Below are 15,793 nucleotides of genomic sequence, written 5' to 3'. Positions count from 1 at the left end.
CTGTACCAGGCACTGGGTATAAATGAGGACTAGGTCAGCCCCTGCAGTTGAGTTGCTTCTGGTTTTACCAGGAGACGCACTAATGGCTAGACAACACACTTTGATCAGTGTTGCATTAGGAATGGGTGCTTGGGGAGCTCAGAGGAGGAGTCCCTGACCCAGATTGAGGGGTGGAACCATGGAAGCTTCTTGGGAGCAGGTTGTCTGCACTCAGTCCTGGAGATGAGATGTAGCCAGGCAGGAACCAAGCAAGGAGGTTAAGATGCTTCAGGGAAGGGTGTTAGGAATTTCCAGGCCGGGAGATGGAGACACATAGGCAAGGACTGTGCCTCGGGGAATCCTGTGCACCTTCACCTCCCTCCTGAGACTGTGGAATGTGGAGAGGTGAGTCTGAGAGACCAAGGGACTCACTTAGAGAGGGAGGTGAGGGTATGAATCAGGGATTTTTCAGACCAAGCTAAGTGGTTTGAGTCTGTTTTGAGGACAGCTTAGAACTGCTCACAGTTTTTAAGCAAAAATGGATGAGTTATTAGGATTGGAGTTTTAAGAGGCAAAGAGCCTAATTTTATTTGAAACCCTGGTTCCTTAAAATGCTTATTTTATACCTCTTTCATATATTATTATAAGATTATAGTTTCCTTGGCTGTAAAATAAGTTCACACAGATCAACTGAATGAGATGGCTGTGGGTAGCAGATGCATACAATGTCCCTTCCCACCATTGATGCTGCAGTGAATGCTAAACTTGTCATTTCATGCCCAGTCTTAGTACACAGATAGCTGTGAAATGGTTAGAACATAAGTTTTGTTTCTCTTAGAACTGGCTGGCAAAAACTTAAACTATTCTAGTAGAAATGATGGGATTTAGGTCTTGTTACATTTTCTTCCCATCAGAAAATGAATGAGTAATATCCATTCCTTAACCCTCTCTCCACTGAATACTAAAGTCAGAGTGTTCTTTTAGAAATTACGCACTCATTAAACAGGTAATATCTGAGTATCTACCAATGGTCACACCCTGTGTTGGGCCGTGAACATCAGGACAAATCAGACAAGGTCAGCACCTCAAGGAGTTTCTAATCACGTGACAAAGACAAAAGCAGCCAACAGAGAAGCAGATGGCAGACAAGAACCCAGACATGAACAAAGTGATGTGGATGCAGAGGATGAAATGTGTTCTCTGCCCAGGAAAGTCAGGGAAGGCTCCAAAAGGAGCCATATGATTTGGGCATTGAAGGATGAGTAGGAGTTGCGAGCTGGAAGAGAGATGCTCAGGTACAGAACTGCACTCTATAAATAAGGGCCAACATTCATTTCTCTGTCATGGGTGAGGAGGAAATAGCCAGCCTGCTCATCATGCTCAGATAATGCCTCAACTCTGCTTTTCAAAAATCCATTAGTAGCCACCTCCTCATCCTCCCACTTTGTTCCCAACAGCGACTAAAAAGAAGCAAATTGACTAATTTGAATTGATCTTTTCTCTGACCCTATGGAGGTGTTAGTGAGCAGAATAGGGTAAGGGGACCAAGAAAAGAAGTAGAAAGGAGGAGGAATTCATCTTCATCATCCAGAAACGCTGATTTAACAGCATGGATTACACCATAGCTCTCTGGTGGTAAAATGCAGCTTTACAGAGACCTGAGTCTGCTTCTTCTAAGTGAAAACTGTATTTCCCCTGCTACCTTCCCTTTGGAACTCTTGGGGTGGAACTCTTGGGGTAGAATATGTATATGTGTGTGTGTATATATATATATATCTATATATGCACACACACACAGAGGGTTTTATGTACGTGTGTATGTACATATGCATGTACCTACGTGTGTGTATATATGGGTATATATGTGTGTATGTATATATGTGTACATTATGTAGAATTTATTCTAGAACCTAGCTCAGAGCATGGTGCAGTTGACCTCCTATCACCCCTGCTGGCTGCAAGATGAATGGATGGGCTAGACTTAATCTTTCACCTGCACACTTCCCCAGTTGTGCCAAGATCTCTGCACTTCGTGGTACTGGATGTTCACAAGCTCCAGGAGGTAGCCTGGGACCAGGTACAGAAGATGAGACTGAAGCTCAGGGAGGAAATGGCTTGGCCAAAGCCCACAGCTGTGAGGACATCAGGATCCAAACTCTTGTCTAATTGTCCCCTCTTTCACTGTTCATGCTGTGTATCACCCTCTCCACAAGCCTATGGGGCTTCAGGCAGACCAAGGAGGAAATTATGAAACTAAGCATTGTGTTTGGACTTGAATCTCACCTGGACTCCAAAATGCAGGACCGGGCAAGCAGTGAGGTCAGAGCAGCATATGTCTAGAAGCCCTCGGAAAGCTACATCTTTCCCTTCGGGGGTCCGCTCACATGCTTTCAGGGATGGTGAACTCACCACCTTATAAGGAAGCTGGTTCTACTTCTAGAGACTGGGCAGCCATCCCTCCTTACAGAATCATCTCTAAACCTAACCATGCCTCAGTTCTAGTTGGCATAAACATCTCAACAGCGAGGGGCTTTGGGGTGGGTGCTTTGCTCTGATGGAGTCTTTTGGAGACAAGGGCAGCTCTGTCACATGCTCTTTACCAAAATGCATTTAGAATCACTTGCCCTCCTTACAGCCAGGGCTGTCTGGTTTCTTGTTCTTAGGGGCCCTATTTGTTCTTCCTAATGGGCTGGGCTGGGGACAAGACATATGACCTGGGGTTCTTCTCTTCTTCCTCTAAGGAGAAGTAGACCTCAACAAGTGCTTTCTCTGACCCCATTCTCTCCAAAACCCTGGCTGCACCCAGGGGGAGTGAGCATTCCCTTTTATATCAGGAGAAATTCAAAAGGATTGTTTAAAAAGAGAAAGAAAGAGAAGATGCTGGGAAGAGGGAGTGAAGAGAGAAAGGGGCAATGTTCTTTTTAGAGGCAGCATCCTCTTGCCCCTGCTCCTGCACTGAGGCAGTTTCGAGCACACTCTCATCCTGGCCTGGGCTCTGTAGTCCTCCTTGTCCTCAGAATCCACACCAAAGACTACCTCGCCAAGGAAGCCTGACTTGATAGCCCAGCTGGAAAGAGTTCCTTTCTCCTTCAAAACCCCACAGTGCTGCCCCTCTGTGGCACTTTCTTGGTACAACAAGGATGCAGATTTAAAAATAAATAAAGAGGGAGAGAGGGAGAAAACCAGAAAGTGACCATGATATCTGGGGTTAACTTGGATTCTAATCCAAACTGCCACTGAGTCACCAGTTAACCTTGGTCAGCCCTCCTCCCTTCATCGTAACTATGAGGGAATTGGGCTTGATCATGCAGCTTCTTCCATCTCTGAACTTGTCTTTAAGATACCCAACTCCCAAAAGAGTCCTTGAGGGCTGTTGAATCCCACATGGCCTGGCAGGACCCTGGTGTGGAGTTTGCACTTAAATCACCACCAACAGGAAGCCCCGCTGGAGGGAGATAAATTACCTCTCACCTCTTCGTAGCAGGCAAGGCCTCTGTCAGCCCTCAACAGACAACAGCTGATCTGGCTCACAGAGTGAAAGGGGCTCAGTGTGTACCCTACCCTCCTGGCTGCAGGCCTTAATGAGGCAGCTACCAGCCCTGTGCTGAGAGCTCTGGCACAGCTACAATGTTCAGTTCCTTGGTTTCAGTTCTCTCTCCTTCTTCCAACCCTGTCTTTGTTCCTGCTTTGGGTTGGAATCTAGGAGAACCGGCTTGGCAGGGGGTTTTGGCCTAGGCCTGATGGCAAGCCTACCTTTCTCTGTTTGGAGCTGTAAGCTGGCAGCACACTGGCCCCAGGATGGAGACTGCACTGACCCGGTAGTAGGCAGAGTCCGGGGGTTGGGGCCAGGTGCACACTGGCAGAGGAGTTATGAAGAATCGTGACTGCTGAAACCAACTTGGCCAGTGTTTCCTCTAAGGACCCCACTTGGTCATCTGTGCTCCTCTTAGGGCCTCATTTCTCTTACCTCAGCTCTTTCCTGTCTCCAGACCCGAAGGCTTGACTATGCTGCAAATCAAGGAAGAAGGGGAACAGCCATCTATCAACTGTCTTCAGTTGCTGTAATGTGTAATACAAGGAGCCTAGAAACTTGATGACATTTGCAGAGGCACATGTAGCTAGTTTCAGGACCCCCATAAAACAAATACTGTACATGTGAGTGGGCTTCAGGTAAGATTTGCTTTAATTGTGGTCTTGATATAATCCTTTGTAGTGCTGCAGTTAAGAGCCCAGGCTCTGGAGCCAGATGCTCTTGGGCAAGTTTTCAAACCTCTTCATAGGACAGTTTCCTCATCTCTAAAATGAGAAGACTAATAGCACCAACCTTGTAAGGGTTCTGGGATCACTACCTGAGTTAATACAGGCAAGCATTTGGAAAAGTGCCTGGGGCACTGTAAGGACTCTGTGATTGTTAGCAATTTTTATTTTGACTTAAAGCCTCGGTTGAATTTTCTATTAGAAGCAAGTGTCTGCCATACAACGTAGGTTCAAACACTTGCTGACCATTTATGAAGCATCTCCTGGATGATTGAGTTGCAAAGCCGAGGCCAGCATCCTGACGGATATCAGGATGAACACCCGGCAGACATCCCTAGTGTGTGACACCATCTGTGCCCTTCAGACAACCAAGGAAAGGTCTTAGGATTCCAGAGGCAGGAAGGTCCTCTGAGCGAGGAGTCCTCTCAGAGGGAGTGAGAGGCCTGGAGTCAGTGTGGAAGCAGGAGCCCGGGGGAGCCAGGGAAGGCTGGAGAGTTGACAAAGGGTGACGTAGGGAAGGATGTCATTGTGAATGGGATAGTGGGAAACCAGCCAAGGGGAGAGAGGAATTGTTCAACAAAGAGTTTTTGGTGCTAGTGTGAGCAGTAAGTTCTACTTGAAGCCTTTTCAGTGCAAATGCCTGCAGGCCCCAGGAGCAGATCCCTCCACTTTGCCCAGCCCTGGAGTCAGGAGGAGGGAGATGTAGAATGTTCAAGTGGCGGGTTCCCACCGTGAAGGACAGAGCAGGCCACCACTCTACGGCCAAGTGAGCACAGGCCTCTTCTGTGTGCAGCCTGAGGCAGGCTGGCCTCGTCCCCTTGAGGGACCTGACAAAGACTGGCTTGTTCTCCCCCGACATCAGGCCTCACCCTCAGGATTGCTCTGTCCTTCTGGGGCAGGATCTCACACAGCGATAATCGAGCGAAACAGAAGAGAAGAATGGAGTGAAGATGGTCCCAGGCGTCGCCATGCCAACCCTGGGCCTGTGGAGGGCGCCTGCCCTGTGTCCTGTCTGCACCTCCCAGTTTGCACCAGGGATATCCCAGTGGTAGAGCTGCTGGTATCGGTTCAGAAAGGCCAGCTGCCTCGTCACTGAGCCACCGAATGTTACAGTAACGTTCAGTAATAGCTGCAATAGGTAGGTTGACTGTTCTCTGCTTTTGCATTGCATTTAGCGATCTAGATTTTCTATTATAACAGATATTTTTGTGGAGAGTTGAACCTTGGAAATTTCATAAATCTTATTTTTGGAGGGATCTGAGGGATCATTGGGTCTACCTCTGTGTGATCTCATTTGCAGGTGAAGAAACAGGCTGGGAGAGTGGAGGCAGTGTTGGTTGTAGAAAGAGTGAAGACTTCATAGCCATCTAGTCCAGCTCAAGGACTGAGATATTGTATGTGAAGCACTTAGTACAAAGCCCAGCCTGCAGTGGGGGCTCAGTGGGTCCTATCCCTGGTTACAATGTAAACTTTCATTTGTGCAAGTGGAACTAATCAAGGGGCCCACTTGTAAAACCAAATGCATACTAAACCAGTAGGAGAGGAACTCCGGATTTCGGGACCAATCCTAAAACGACCACTGGTTACTTGGGGGAGGCAGAAGAGAAGGGGATATGACACTGGGACTTCAGATCTTTAGTCAAGTGCAGTGGTTCTCAAACTTGAGGACACTGAGGATTCGATTAAAACATAGACTTGCGTTCAGCAGTTCTGAGGTGGGGCTTGAGAGACTGCATTTGTAATAAGCTCCCAGGTGGGTGCCAGTCTCCAGACCATGCTCAGAGCAGTAAGAGCCTAGAAAACTCAAAGAAAAAACAATAAGCCATTTTGTATTTCATGGTTAGAAGCAATTTATGCAGAATTCATTGCCAGAGCTCCTTTATGGACAAGAACTACTGGCTCCTGTTTGGAGCCTGATCCAGTCCATCTAATGGAGTCACACAGAAGGGAATGGTCTTCATGAGTTCCAGAATCTTGCTGTGCCGCAGTTTCCTTATCTAAAGGCACTACTCTGCAGAGAGATTTTGAAGATGAGTAAGAGCCAGCAAAGAGCTTGGCATCCAGTAGGCATTCAAGAAAAGGCAGCTGTGGAGAGGGATGTGGCACCTTGCCAAGGCCATACAGCTGCTACGTGGCAGGTGACCGGGTGTCTCTACGCTCCGTCTCAGTGTATTTTCCATCTTCCACTGAGTACCAGAGGACCTGAGATTATTTTGTGTAGCTGAGCTGGGTTGTCAGATGATATGAGCTGGGGAGCAACTCAGACCTCATGTTGGAATCACAATTTGCTGTCTTCAAGTGGAATGAAGAAATAGCCCAAACAGTGCTTGATCTGTCTGGGAGGCTTGCAGGCTCTCCAGAGGGTGAAAGGCAAAGCGTTCGAATGTAGAGGACTGTGTGGCCACAGACAGCAGCCTGGGAACCCCGACGACAGGGGAAAGTTTAAATCAGGATAGAGCATCGCTGAGTCATCAGGAGCCAGGCTGGGCTTACACAGAAATTCAGAGATAAACTTTGTGCGTTTGTTTGTTTGGTTTAATTGTGGTCTTGGCTTATCAATCTAAACAGGGAAGTTCCATGAGGACTTTGCTGCCTTCTCTTGTGGATTGCAGATTTCCTGCAGGGACATCCTCCATGGGAGCAACTTGTACCTTTGTCCATCTCCCATCTGTCCATAAAAGCAGGCTCGGGGGTACAGATCATGAATTGAGGGTCTTCAACTATGTGCATTTCCATTTCCAGAGTATTTTCTGACTCAAAATATAATTTTAAGTGGGGGTTTTGTTTAAATGAGTTATAGAAACTCATTCTGATAAGCTTGTGGTAGGATTCCAACCTTTCTTTTTACCCTTAACTTGAGTGAAGTTGATTCAGCCACAACACAGATGTTTTCCTCAGTGGAAAACGTGACTTAAGAAACTAGTTGAAGGGGCTGGAGAGGATAATTACTAAGCCAAATGGCTAAGTCTATTCACGTTTCCTTCTCAAATGTCATAGCCCCGTTTTCTGGCAAAGTGGTCAAGACAGATGCTTTTGAAATGACCTTGAAGCAGCAATTGAGTTACTACATTAAGTAAGCGTTGGCTACTACAACTGTGAGTTTAAACACTTTTTACAAATGAGTGGAATCACGTTTAGAAAATATTCAGGATGTTGAACTTGATACTTCTGCTTTGTCCTTTTTTCACAAATTTCTGCATTTGTGTTCGGTACCTACCTGACCAGGTCTGGTATTTTTAATGTGAGATGATAATGCCCCTTAGTGGATAAGGTACTTAACTGCAAGCTCTTGCATTTGCCCAGAGAAAAGCTCTCCAATTTAGCAGAAATATACAATATAGTAACTCTTCAAACTAACCTACTGGAGGGTAATTGTGAGAATTAAATGAGGGCATTTGCATGTAGCGCTTAGCATAGCATCGAGTGCAGGGCTGACACTCAGCGAATGGCTGCTGTTAGTGTAGTTATCGGATCATGAGAATTTGATTTAGATGAAGGCCTTTTGAAAGCAGGGGAATGAGTGTCCTTGGGATTTCAGTGTCAGGGTCCTCTGTGTCTGCTCAGGTATGCATTATGAAAAGGGACTGAAGAGAATCATGTCCTCCCCTGGGACAGCACTACCCGCTGGCTCTCCTGCCCAGAGGTGGAGGCAGTAAATACCTGAAAATGCACTCCTGAAAATGCATGGAAGTCTCCCAGCCTTCAGCATTCTTCGAAATTCCTTCAGCTGGAATTTTGACTTAAAGGAGTGTACTAGTTCATTCTCACGCTGCTAGAAAGACATACCCAAGACTGGGTAATTTACAAAGGAAAGAGGTTTAATTGACTCACAGTTCCACATGGCTGTGGAGGCCTCACAGTCAAGGAGGAAGACGAATGAGGAGCAAAGTCACATCTTACACGGTAGCAGGCAAGAAAGCTTGTGCGGGGGAACTCCCATTTATAAAACCATCAGATCTCATGAGACACATTCACTACCATGAGAACAGTATGGGGGGGAAGTGCCACCATGATTCAATTACCTCCCACCAGGTCCCTCCCACGACATGTCGGGATTATGGGACCTACAATTCCAGATGAGATTTTGGGTGGGGACAGAGTCAGACCATATCAAGAAGTTCCATAAAATGAGCATCCACCTCCGCTTGGTGGGGAGACATTGCTATTTTGCAGCATCTATCCTTGAAGTTGGACTTCTCACGCAGCTCAGCCTCCTGCAGCTGATTGGCTGCTTCAGAGGCCAGAGCAGAGATGGTTCTGCAGGCTTGTCATCATGAAAGTAAGTCTCTGGCCATCACATCCTAGCAGTGGGTGGCAGGCTCTTCTCAAATCCTGCTGTCTTTTTTAGAAGTTAATTTGTGCATCATTGAGGACATATTTCACTTTTCTTGTTGACTCAAATTATCTTTCTTTTAACTTTCAAGCATAGCATGAGATCTTTAGCTATATCTTTATTAAAATGAGTGTCACCATGGTGGAACCATTTTTATTCCTCCCCTCCCTTCATCCCACCCTCTTTTTTCCTCCTTTTCTCTTTCTTCCTTATTTCCTTCCTTCCTTCCTTCTTCCTATCCTCTCACCCTTTTCCCCCCTCCCATCCACATGCCCTCCTTTCCTTCCCTCTTTCTTTCTAAGTAGTTGCCTGGAAGGACCTCAGGCTGGAAGAACTTGGATTCTGATTGTGGCCTTCACACTATCATTCTTCACTCATTCTTTCATGCATTCAGCCACACACATTCCCTGGGTGGCTTGCTGTGGATTCAATCACAAGTAAGTTCCAGTTCCCATCCAGGGGGTCTTCACCTCCTAGGAGGAGAGACAGGCAGGTAAGCAGGAGTGACCAGGAATGTGGAAATGTGGTGGGAGAGAGGACACAGGGGGCTGTGGCACAAGGTGCAGAGGGCAAGGAGTCCCCCCTGCAGGACTGGGACAGGCATCGTGGCCTGGCAGGAAACTACTTTCAGAGCAGGCTTAAGAGCCACCCAGGAAATCTGGTCCCACTACTTCAACATAACCAGAAGACTGGGAGCTGGCAATGGCTTGGCTTTCACAGATCTTAAAGCCAACCCTGTGACAGCTGCCACTCCAGAGACCCCTCATGTCCAACCTCCACCACCACCCCCCCACCTCCGCCCCTCCGCCCAGTACGTGTGATCTCAGCAGATCCCAAAGTGAAGGACGTTGGGCTCCTTTCTTCACACCTCACAGGCGTCTTGGCAGTGGGATGTTCACTGGGAGTTTCTCCCTCTCCTCCACCTCGAGCTACAGCCCCTTTCTGCAGGAAACCCTCCCAGACTATTCTAGTCCAGATGAGGCACCTCCTCTTTTAGACTCCTTTCCCCAAACACTTTGCCTTTACCCAGATCACAGTCCTCACTAGAGTCTTCCTCCCCATTATAGTTGTCTTTGAATGCAGATTCTCATCCTTACTGGTCCTTACTGCAAGAGCCATGTTTTATTTAGCCCTATTCTCTAAAAAGAGCAATGCTCATGTATTTATTTCTTTGACTGGTTACCAGATTTATTTATTTATTTTTTGAGATGGCGTCTCTCTCTGTCACCAGGCTGGAGTGCAGTGGTGCAATCTCGGCTCACTGCAACCTCCACCTCCTGGGTTCAGGCAATTCTCCTGCCTCAGCCTCCCAAGTAGCTGGGACTACAGGCACATGCCACCACACCCAGCTATTTTTTTTTTTTTGTATTTTTAGTAGAGACAGGGTTTCACCATGTTGTGAAGGATGGTCTTGATCTCTTAACCTTGTGATCTGCCCGCCTCAGCCTCCCAAAGTGCTGGGATTACAGGCGTGAGCCACGGCCCCCGGCCTAGTCACCAGATTTCAATGCTGTATTAAGAACTGTGCTAGATACAGGGGATGGATTGATGATTAACACCTGTCCTCAAGAAGTTCAACAGATAGGTGTAAATATTACATTTTTGATAGAAATATATGCAAGATATACAGGATATATATATATATATATATATATATATATATATATATATGTTGGGACTAAAAGAAGTCAATCCTATTTTTGAGGCAAGTGCCAAGGATGATGAGGGGTGATGGATAGAGGGAGGATCAGCAGAATTGAATAAAATGGGAAGTGAAATGTGGGTAGTTAGGTAACTAAGCAGAGCCTATACAGTTTTGCCAACTCTACAGAAATTTTGGTTATGCTTGTAATTTCTAGGAACTTTACAGAAGTTTATCATGTGTTCCAACTACATGGGGCAGTACACATAGGCTGCCGAAGCCTTGGGATTTTTGAGTCTCAACTTTATCATCTGTACCTGAACAGGACTGGGCCACTGGGCTGGATCAGGGACACTTCTCCCTGTTCCAGCATTCTAGGATTTTATACAATGAGAATGTCAACAATTCACAAAAATGTATTCAGGCAACCTAATGCCAAACCATGTGCTAATAAGTTAATTAGAAATGAGACACAATTTGCTATGAGTTTCCACAGCCCTCTTGCCCTGACCAGAGGCCACAGGCCATGTCTTAAGCCATTTTCTGTTTCCCAAAAACATCTAATAATAGTGCAGGAGTATTCGACAAAATAACATAGTGGCTTAGACTGTGAGTTTTCTGGTATGATGGGCTGTGTTTAAATTCCAGTTCTGCTGGTGATTAACTGAGTTACCCTAGGCAAGTTACTCACTTGCTTCAGTGTTCTCGTTTCTAAAAGGGAGATGGTAGTAGCACAGAATCTTGAGTTTGCTTTTGGCATTAAAGATGACACTATATGTATTTAGCACAATGCCTAGCACAGAATATATGCACAGTCTGTGGAAGTTATTATTATTATTCATCTTACTAAGTAAGCAGTAAGTACTCAATTGCATTTTTTGTTGGCTGTAAATCAGTACATATTGGCAATATGCTCTGTCTGCCAAAATCCCTGAGTACCATCTTGGGTTACCTCAGTAGAGGTTTAGTGTCCAGATGGAAGCGAGATGCAGTCCTTCTGGGCAGACCACACTCAGAGGCCTGGAAACCGTTCTGGATACTACACAGTAGTAGATTCTCTGACCAGTAAGAGTGTGTGAATAAAATATCAGGTTGATCTGAGAACCTCTTTTCCCCTGTAATATGGAGGAAGAAGCATACGTTTTGTTTTAGGAGGAGAAGTGACAGGGGAGTCATGGAAGATGTCCTTATTTATTCCACATATATGTATGGCATTCCTTCTATGTGTCAGGCCCTATTCTAGGAGTTGAGGGCACATAAATAAATGATGATATATACTTAAAAGAAAAGCAGAGTTACTGGGGAGTGGGAGTAAAATAGTATTTTGGACAAAACTGTTAGGTTGAACTCCACTGAAAAATAAATCCCGAATGAATATACAAAGAAAATCTATGCAGATTGTGGAAAAACATTCCAGGCAGAAGGACTAGCAAGTGCAAGGGTCCCGTGGTAGAAACATGTGGTCTCCAGCTAGAAGCTGAGGTCTGAGGAGGGGTGAGATGACATGCCCAGGGTCTTCTGGCTAATCCATGTTACAATTGAGATGTTGATATTTAATGTCAGACTTTTCAGACAAAAAAGCTCATGCCTATTGTACTGTACTCTTTAGACAAGGGAGGGAGAGAAGAGCCTGGGGCCCCAGGGGTCCCCCTTGTGTGCTTTATCCCCGGTATCCCTGGCCCGCAGTTCCAGAGATGACCAGCAGAGGGTACCATGCACCGGGTTTCCGCAGCCACTGCCTGAAGCCATGTTGAATGAGCAAATGTCTGCAGCCGCCTCTGTGAGATCTAAATGTCTCCTTGGCAGGAAATCCGCGAGGAGCACGGCGGGGTTGTGCAAACAGCCTTACAATGTCCGCTTGTGTGTGTGCACTCGCCTTCGCCTGCATCGCCCACAATGCTCTGTGTTTTTTTTTGGATAATGGGGCTCTGTGGACCCATGTGCCTTGTCATGCAAAGGGAGTGACCTGCGTTTGTCATAAATGGGCTCTTGTATGATTAATAGCCATGTGAATGATCCCATCGCAGCAGCAGTTCAGGACCCAGCTTCACCTCTTCACTGACGTGGTGGTCTGAGTCGGCTTTCTTCTCCAGCTCCAAAGCAACAGTGCAGGATTTATTGCTAAAAGGGCAATGACTTGTTTGCGCTGTGGTTGCAATTTTTGAAATGCAAGGCAGGGGGCGCAGATACTTATTTGTTAGGACCTACTGCATGCCAGATGCTACACTAAGAACTTCTACCTGCATTATCTTACTTACTTAGTAACAATACTAAAAAGGGAATATTTTGATTTGCATTTTACTAACAAGGGAAACTCAGATTCAAAAGAGTCCAATGACTCTCCCAACGTCTCCAAAGCTCATGCTGTTTCCATGAAATGATTCCCTTTCCTTTTTAGAGTAGCTTAGTCCGTGGTCCACACTACAAAACGCCGTCCTCATTCCACTTGGCCATCTATAAACTGAAATTTGCGATCTTAAAATAGATGAGGGATTCCCTCGTTTCTGGGCTTCCGTGTATTTATTTTACCTCCTGAAAGTGTATCAGTCTGCATGTGTGCATTTTTCTGAGAAAGCCAGTTTTCATTAGATTTTCAAAGTAGTCTCTGGTCCTAAAACAAAAGGGCTAATCACCCAAAAGTGTTTATATTTGGGGAAATGCTTATTTTTCTCAGACCCGTTTCTCTCACCAATGACTGTTTTCTCTGCTCAGTCTGTGTGGGTGATGTCTTTGTTGTTGTTGCTGGGTAGTGACTACTTATCCAGTCCTTCCCATCCATCTCAGTGGCCATAAATGAATAATGCGATGTGTGGGACCCTGCTTGGTGGTTGGGCGGGGAGGAGTGAGGAGGAGTGGTTGAAATGGCTAAAACACTGACAGCCAGTCAGAGATAGCCCCTGCAAGAATCCACAACAGCAAAGGTGCTTACTTATGCCTGGGGTTTGGGGAGGAGGTTACTGGGAGAAACGATAGGCCGTCTTTAGGCGTTCAAGGCAAAAGGAACAGTATGAGCAAGAAAACAGAGGCAAGGACCGGGCACTCTGGCTCACACCTGTAATCCCAGCACTTTGGGAGGCCTAGGCAGGTGGATTACTTGAGGCCAAGAGTGCAAGACCAGCCTGACCAAGATGGTGAAACCCTGTCTCTACTAAAAATACGAAAATTAGCCAGGTGTGGTGGCACACACCTGTAATCCCACCTGCTTGGGAGGCTAAGGCAGGAGAATCGCTTGAACCCGGGAACCTGGGAGGCAGAGGTTGCAGTGAGCCAAGATAGTGCCATTGCACTCCAGCCTAGATGACAGAGCAGACTCCATCTAAAAAAAAGAAAAAAGGCAGAAGCAAGGAGGCAGGAGCCCTTCCACTGTCATATTCTGGTGTGGCTTATGTACAGAGTGATCAGAGTAGCTTCAGCAGAGGGGCGGAATCTTGAAAGAGAGCTCTAAGCCAGGCTTATAGCCTTGCATACCAAGTAAAAAATTTACCCAGCTTTATTTGACAGCCAGCTTAGCAGGCGTTTATGCTAACCATGGCTAACTTCGTCGACTCAGCTAACTCTGTATTCTATTTGCTCCCTGGATTCTGTCTCAGGAAGTAGCACCCCCCACCCGCCCCTCCCTGCCTGACAGGCCCACCTCCCACCACTCTGCAGACTCTCACCTCATCCACCTTTCCTGTCCCAGCCTTAGGTTGACCGTCTGCACAGCTTGCTCGGGTACCAAGCCAGGGCTTTTATTTTAACATGTTAGTTTTGTTTGCAATGATGAGTACGTTGAAACAAGGGCAATTGCTCCTTTCAGAAGCTGGAAACAAAGGCAGAGCCGCACCTGTCTCTGAGATTTCAAGTGAAGTTTCAACACTTTGGACATTCTTGATGCTTGAGATTTCACGGAGCATGCTAATCTCTCTTGGCCTCATATTCTTCAGGTTTTTTGTATGTGATGGCTTTTATTGGATTTTTTTTTGTTTCGGTACCAACATAATTTTTTATATCCCCCTGCACTTCCCAAAATAAATTTGACCTGGGAGCAAATTTCCTTTGCTCCTTTGCTTTGACATGTCACATCCAAAGCCTCCTTTGGTACCCAGATGAGCTCCAGTTTAAGAAAACTCAACATCTGAAAACCTTCTTAGATGTCGAGTCATCCCAAGGTCCTGGGGCCATCGAATTCTGCAGGGCCTTTTGCTTCCCAGAAGGACCATTTTCATCAGGACTCGCCTCCTGGTCCCTTGACCTGATAGGTTGTATTTTACCACCTGCCAGAGAACTATGGAGGCAGATAAACTTCAAGAACAAATGTGTGACACAGTTGCCTGTGGAATGAAAGCTGGGCAGGGAAAAGGAGAAGGCCTCTTTTTCATTTTGTTTTTTTTTTTTTTTAGTTATATTGTAAGACAACAGGAATGGAAGAGATTTAATTCCCCAGAATTAGTTGTATATGTGACATTCCCTGTAACATGTTCAGAGACTGGTGAATGATCCCAGGGGTCTCAAGTATCCAATATAAGAGTGGGAGGAGGAGAGAGAGAGACTGGAGAGAGAGAAAGGAGGAGGACACCCAAGAGAAGGGCATCGGGAAGAGGAATGGATCTAAGGGAGACATGGAGAGAGTTTGGTGGGAGAGTGGATCAAGGGGTACAGCAGGTAGAGAAATCTCAGGTGGTGCCCAGGGCTCTGGTTATGACACTGGGAGGATAATAATGCTTTTTGTTGGGTGAGGGAAGAGGAGAAGATTTTGGAAAGAGTGGAAAGTGAGGTTTCTATGGCCTTCCCCGAATGGCTATGCTTGTGGGACATTCACTTGGATTGATGGGCCTGGAGCTGGGGACAGAAGTCTAATATAGAGCCAGAGGTTGAGAGTCATCTGCCTATGGGTGGAAATTGGAGTCAGAAGGGTCACACCAGGGAGAATGAGAAAAGGCTGAAGAAAGAACATGGAGACCAAGACTTAAAGGCCAGATGGACAAAGTAGAAACTTGAGGAGGAACTTCCAGAGAGGTGAGAGATGAGGAAGGAGATGGGTCCCAAGTATCTCAGCAAGGAGAAGTTGCTCAGCGGTGCCCATGACAAGCCTTCACCTACAGCTCTGCTCTCAGAGGGTTAGAGGGTCTTGGCTGTTGTTTATTTAAATACTTGAGAATGAATTCTGAAGAAAGGAGGTTTGTAATCCAAAAAACTGACAGCCTGTTTAAGCGAATTCACTATCAGAACAGCCCAAATTTGAGATAACTTCTAGGTGTTCCCTTTTACTTTCTAGACTGGAGTTGAAACCAACCAAGAGAGGAAGAGCAACTTGCCCAACATGACACTAAGTGAATGGTGTCTCCAAGATGAGTGCTTGGGTCTCTGGGGCCCCTTGCCCTGCATGGGGTACCTTTCCATTTGAAATTAGGCAGAACGGGCCTGGGTAGGCTGAGAGTGTCCACCTGCCTAGGTAAGAAGCAGGTGTCTCAAGCAGTTTCCTCATAAGCATGTTCTTGATTTCCCAAGAGAAAGGGGACAGATTCACTAGTGACTTCCCAGCGGTGGCCTGGGCCGGAGCTGAGCCCAGTTTGATTGCTTCCATGTCACTAGCATTTGAA

At 46.3% G+C, this 15,793-nt stretch overlaps 1 protein-coding gene across 10 annotated transcripts in view, besides 3 other annotated features; it reads left to right on the top strand.

Moving 5' to 3' along the window:
* The window catches only part of CYRIA (CYFIP related Rac1 interactor A), a 116,376-nt gene that overhangs the window by 44,697 nt on the left and 55,886 nt on the right, over nucleotides 1-15,793 (top strand). Inside the window, exon 3 of one of the 10 annotated variants that reach the window (XM_024453166.2) lies at nucleotides 3,969-4,149. The exons of 8 other annotated variants lie outside the window; for them this stretch is intronic. The gene's annotated coding sequence lies outside the window, so the exon portion shown is untranslated. Of the gene's footprint in view, nucleotides 1-3,968; nucleotides 5,375-15,793 lie in introns of all 10 variants that reach the window. One more of the 10 variants, XM_047445943.1, reaches the window with a different exon arrangement.
* Nucleotides 11,658-12,157: an enhancer, noted in NCBI's record as "H3K27ac hESC enhancer chr2:16790249-16790748 (GRCh37/hg19 assembly coordinates)". NCBI's record gives its function as "activates a minimal SCP1, AML or CMV promoter by ChIP-STARR-seq in primed H9 embryonic stem cells {active_cell/tissue: H9 hESC(primed)}" and the evidence as "EXISTENCE:reporter gene assay evidence [ECO:0000049][PMID:30033119]".
* Nucleotides 11,678-12,097: a silencer, noted in NCBI's record as "fragment chr2:16790309-16790728 (GRCh37/hg19 assembly coordinates)". NCBI's record gives its function as "represses an EF-1alpha promoter that drives an FKBP-Casp9 reporter gene in an ReSE screen in HepG2 liver carcinoma cells {active_cell/tissue: HepG2}" and the evidence as "EXISTENCE:reporter gene assay evidence [ECO:0000049][PMID:32094911]".
* Nucleotides 12,158-12,659: an enhancer, noted in NCBI's record as "H3K27ac hESC enhancer chr2:16789747-16790248 (GRCh37/hg19 assembly coordinates)". NCBI's record gives its function as "activates a minimal SCP1, AML or CMV promoter by ChIP-STARR-seq in naive and primed H9 embryonic stem cells {active_cell/tissue: H9 hESC(naive and primed)}" and the evidence as "EXISTENCE:reporter gene assay evidence [ECO:0000049][PMID:30033119]".

This window comes from Homo sapiens, chromosome 2 (assembly GCF_000001405.40).
Source record: "Homo sapiens chromosome 2, GRCh38.p14 Primary Assembly".
NCBI lineage: Eukaryota > Metazoa > Chordata > Mammalia > Primates > Hominidae > Homo > Homo sapiens.
This window is presented reverse-complemented; position numbering and strand designations above follow the sequence as displayed.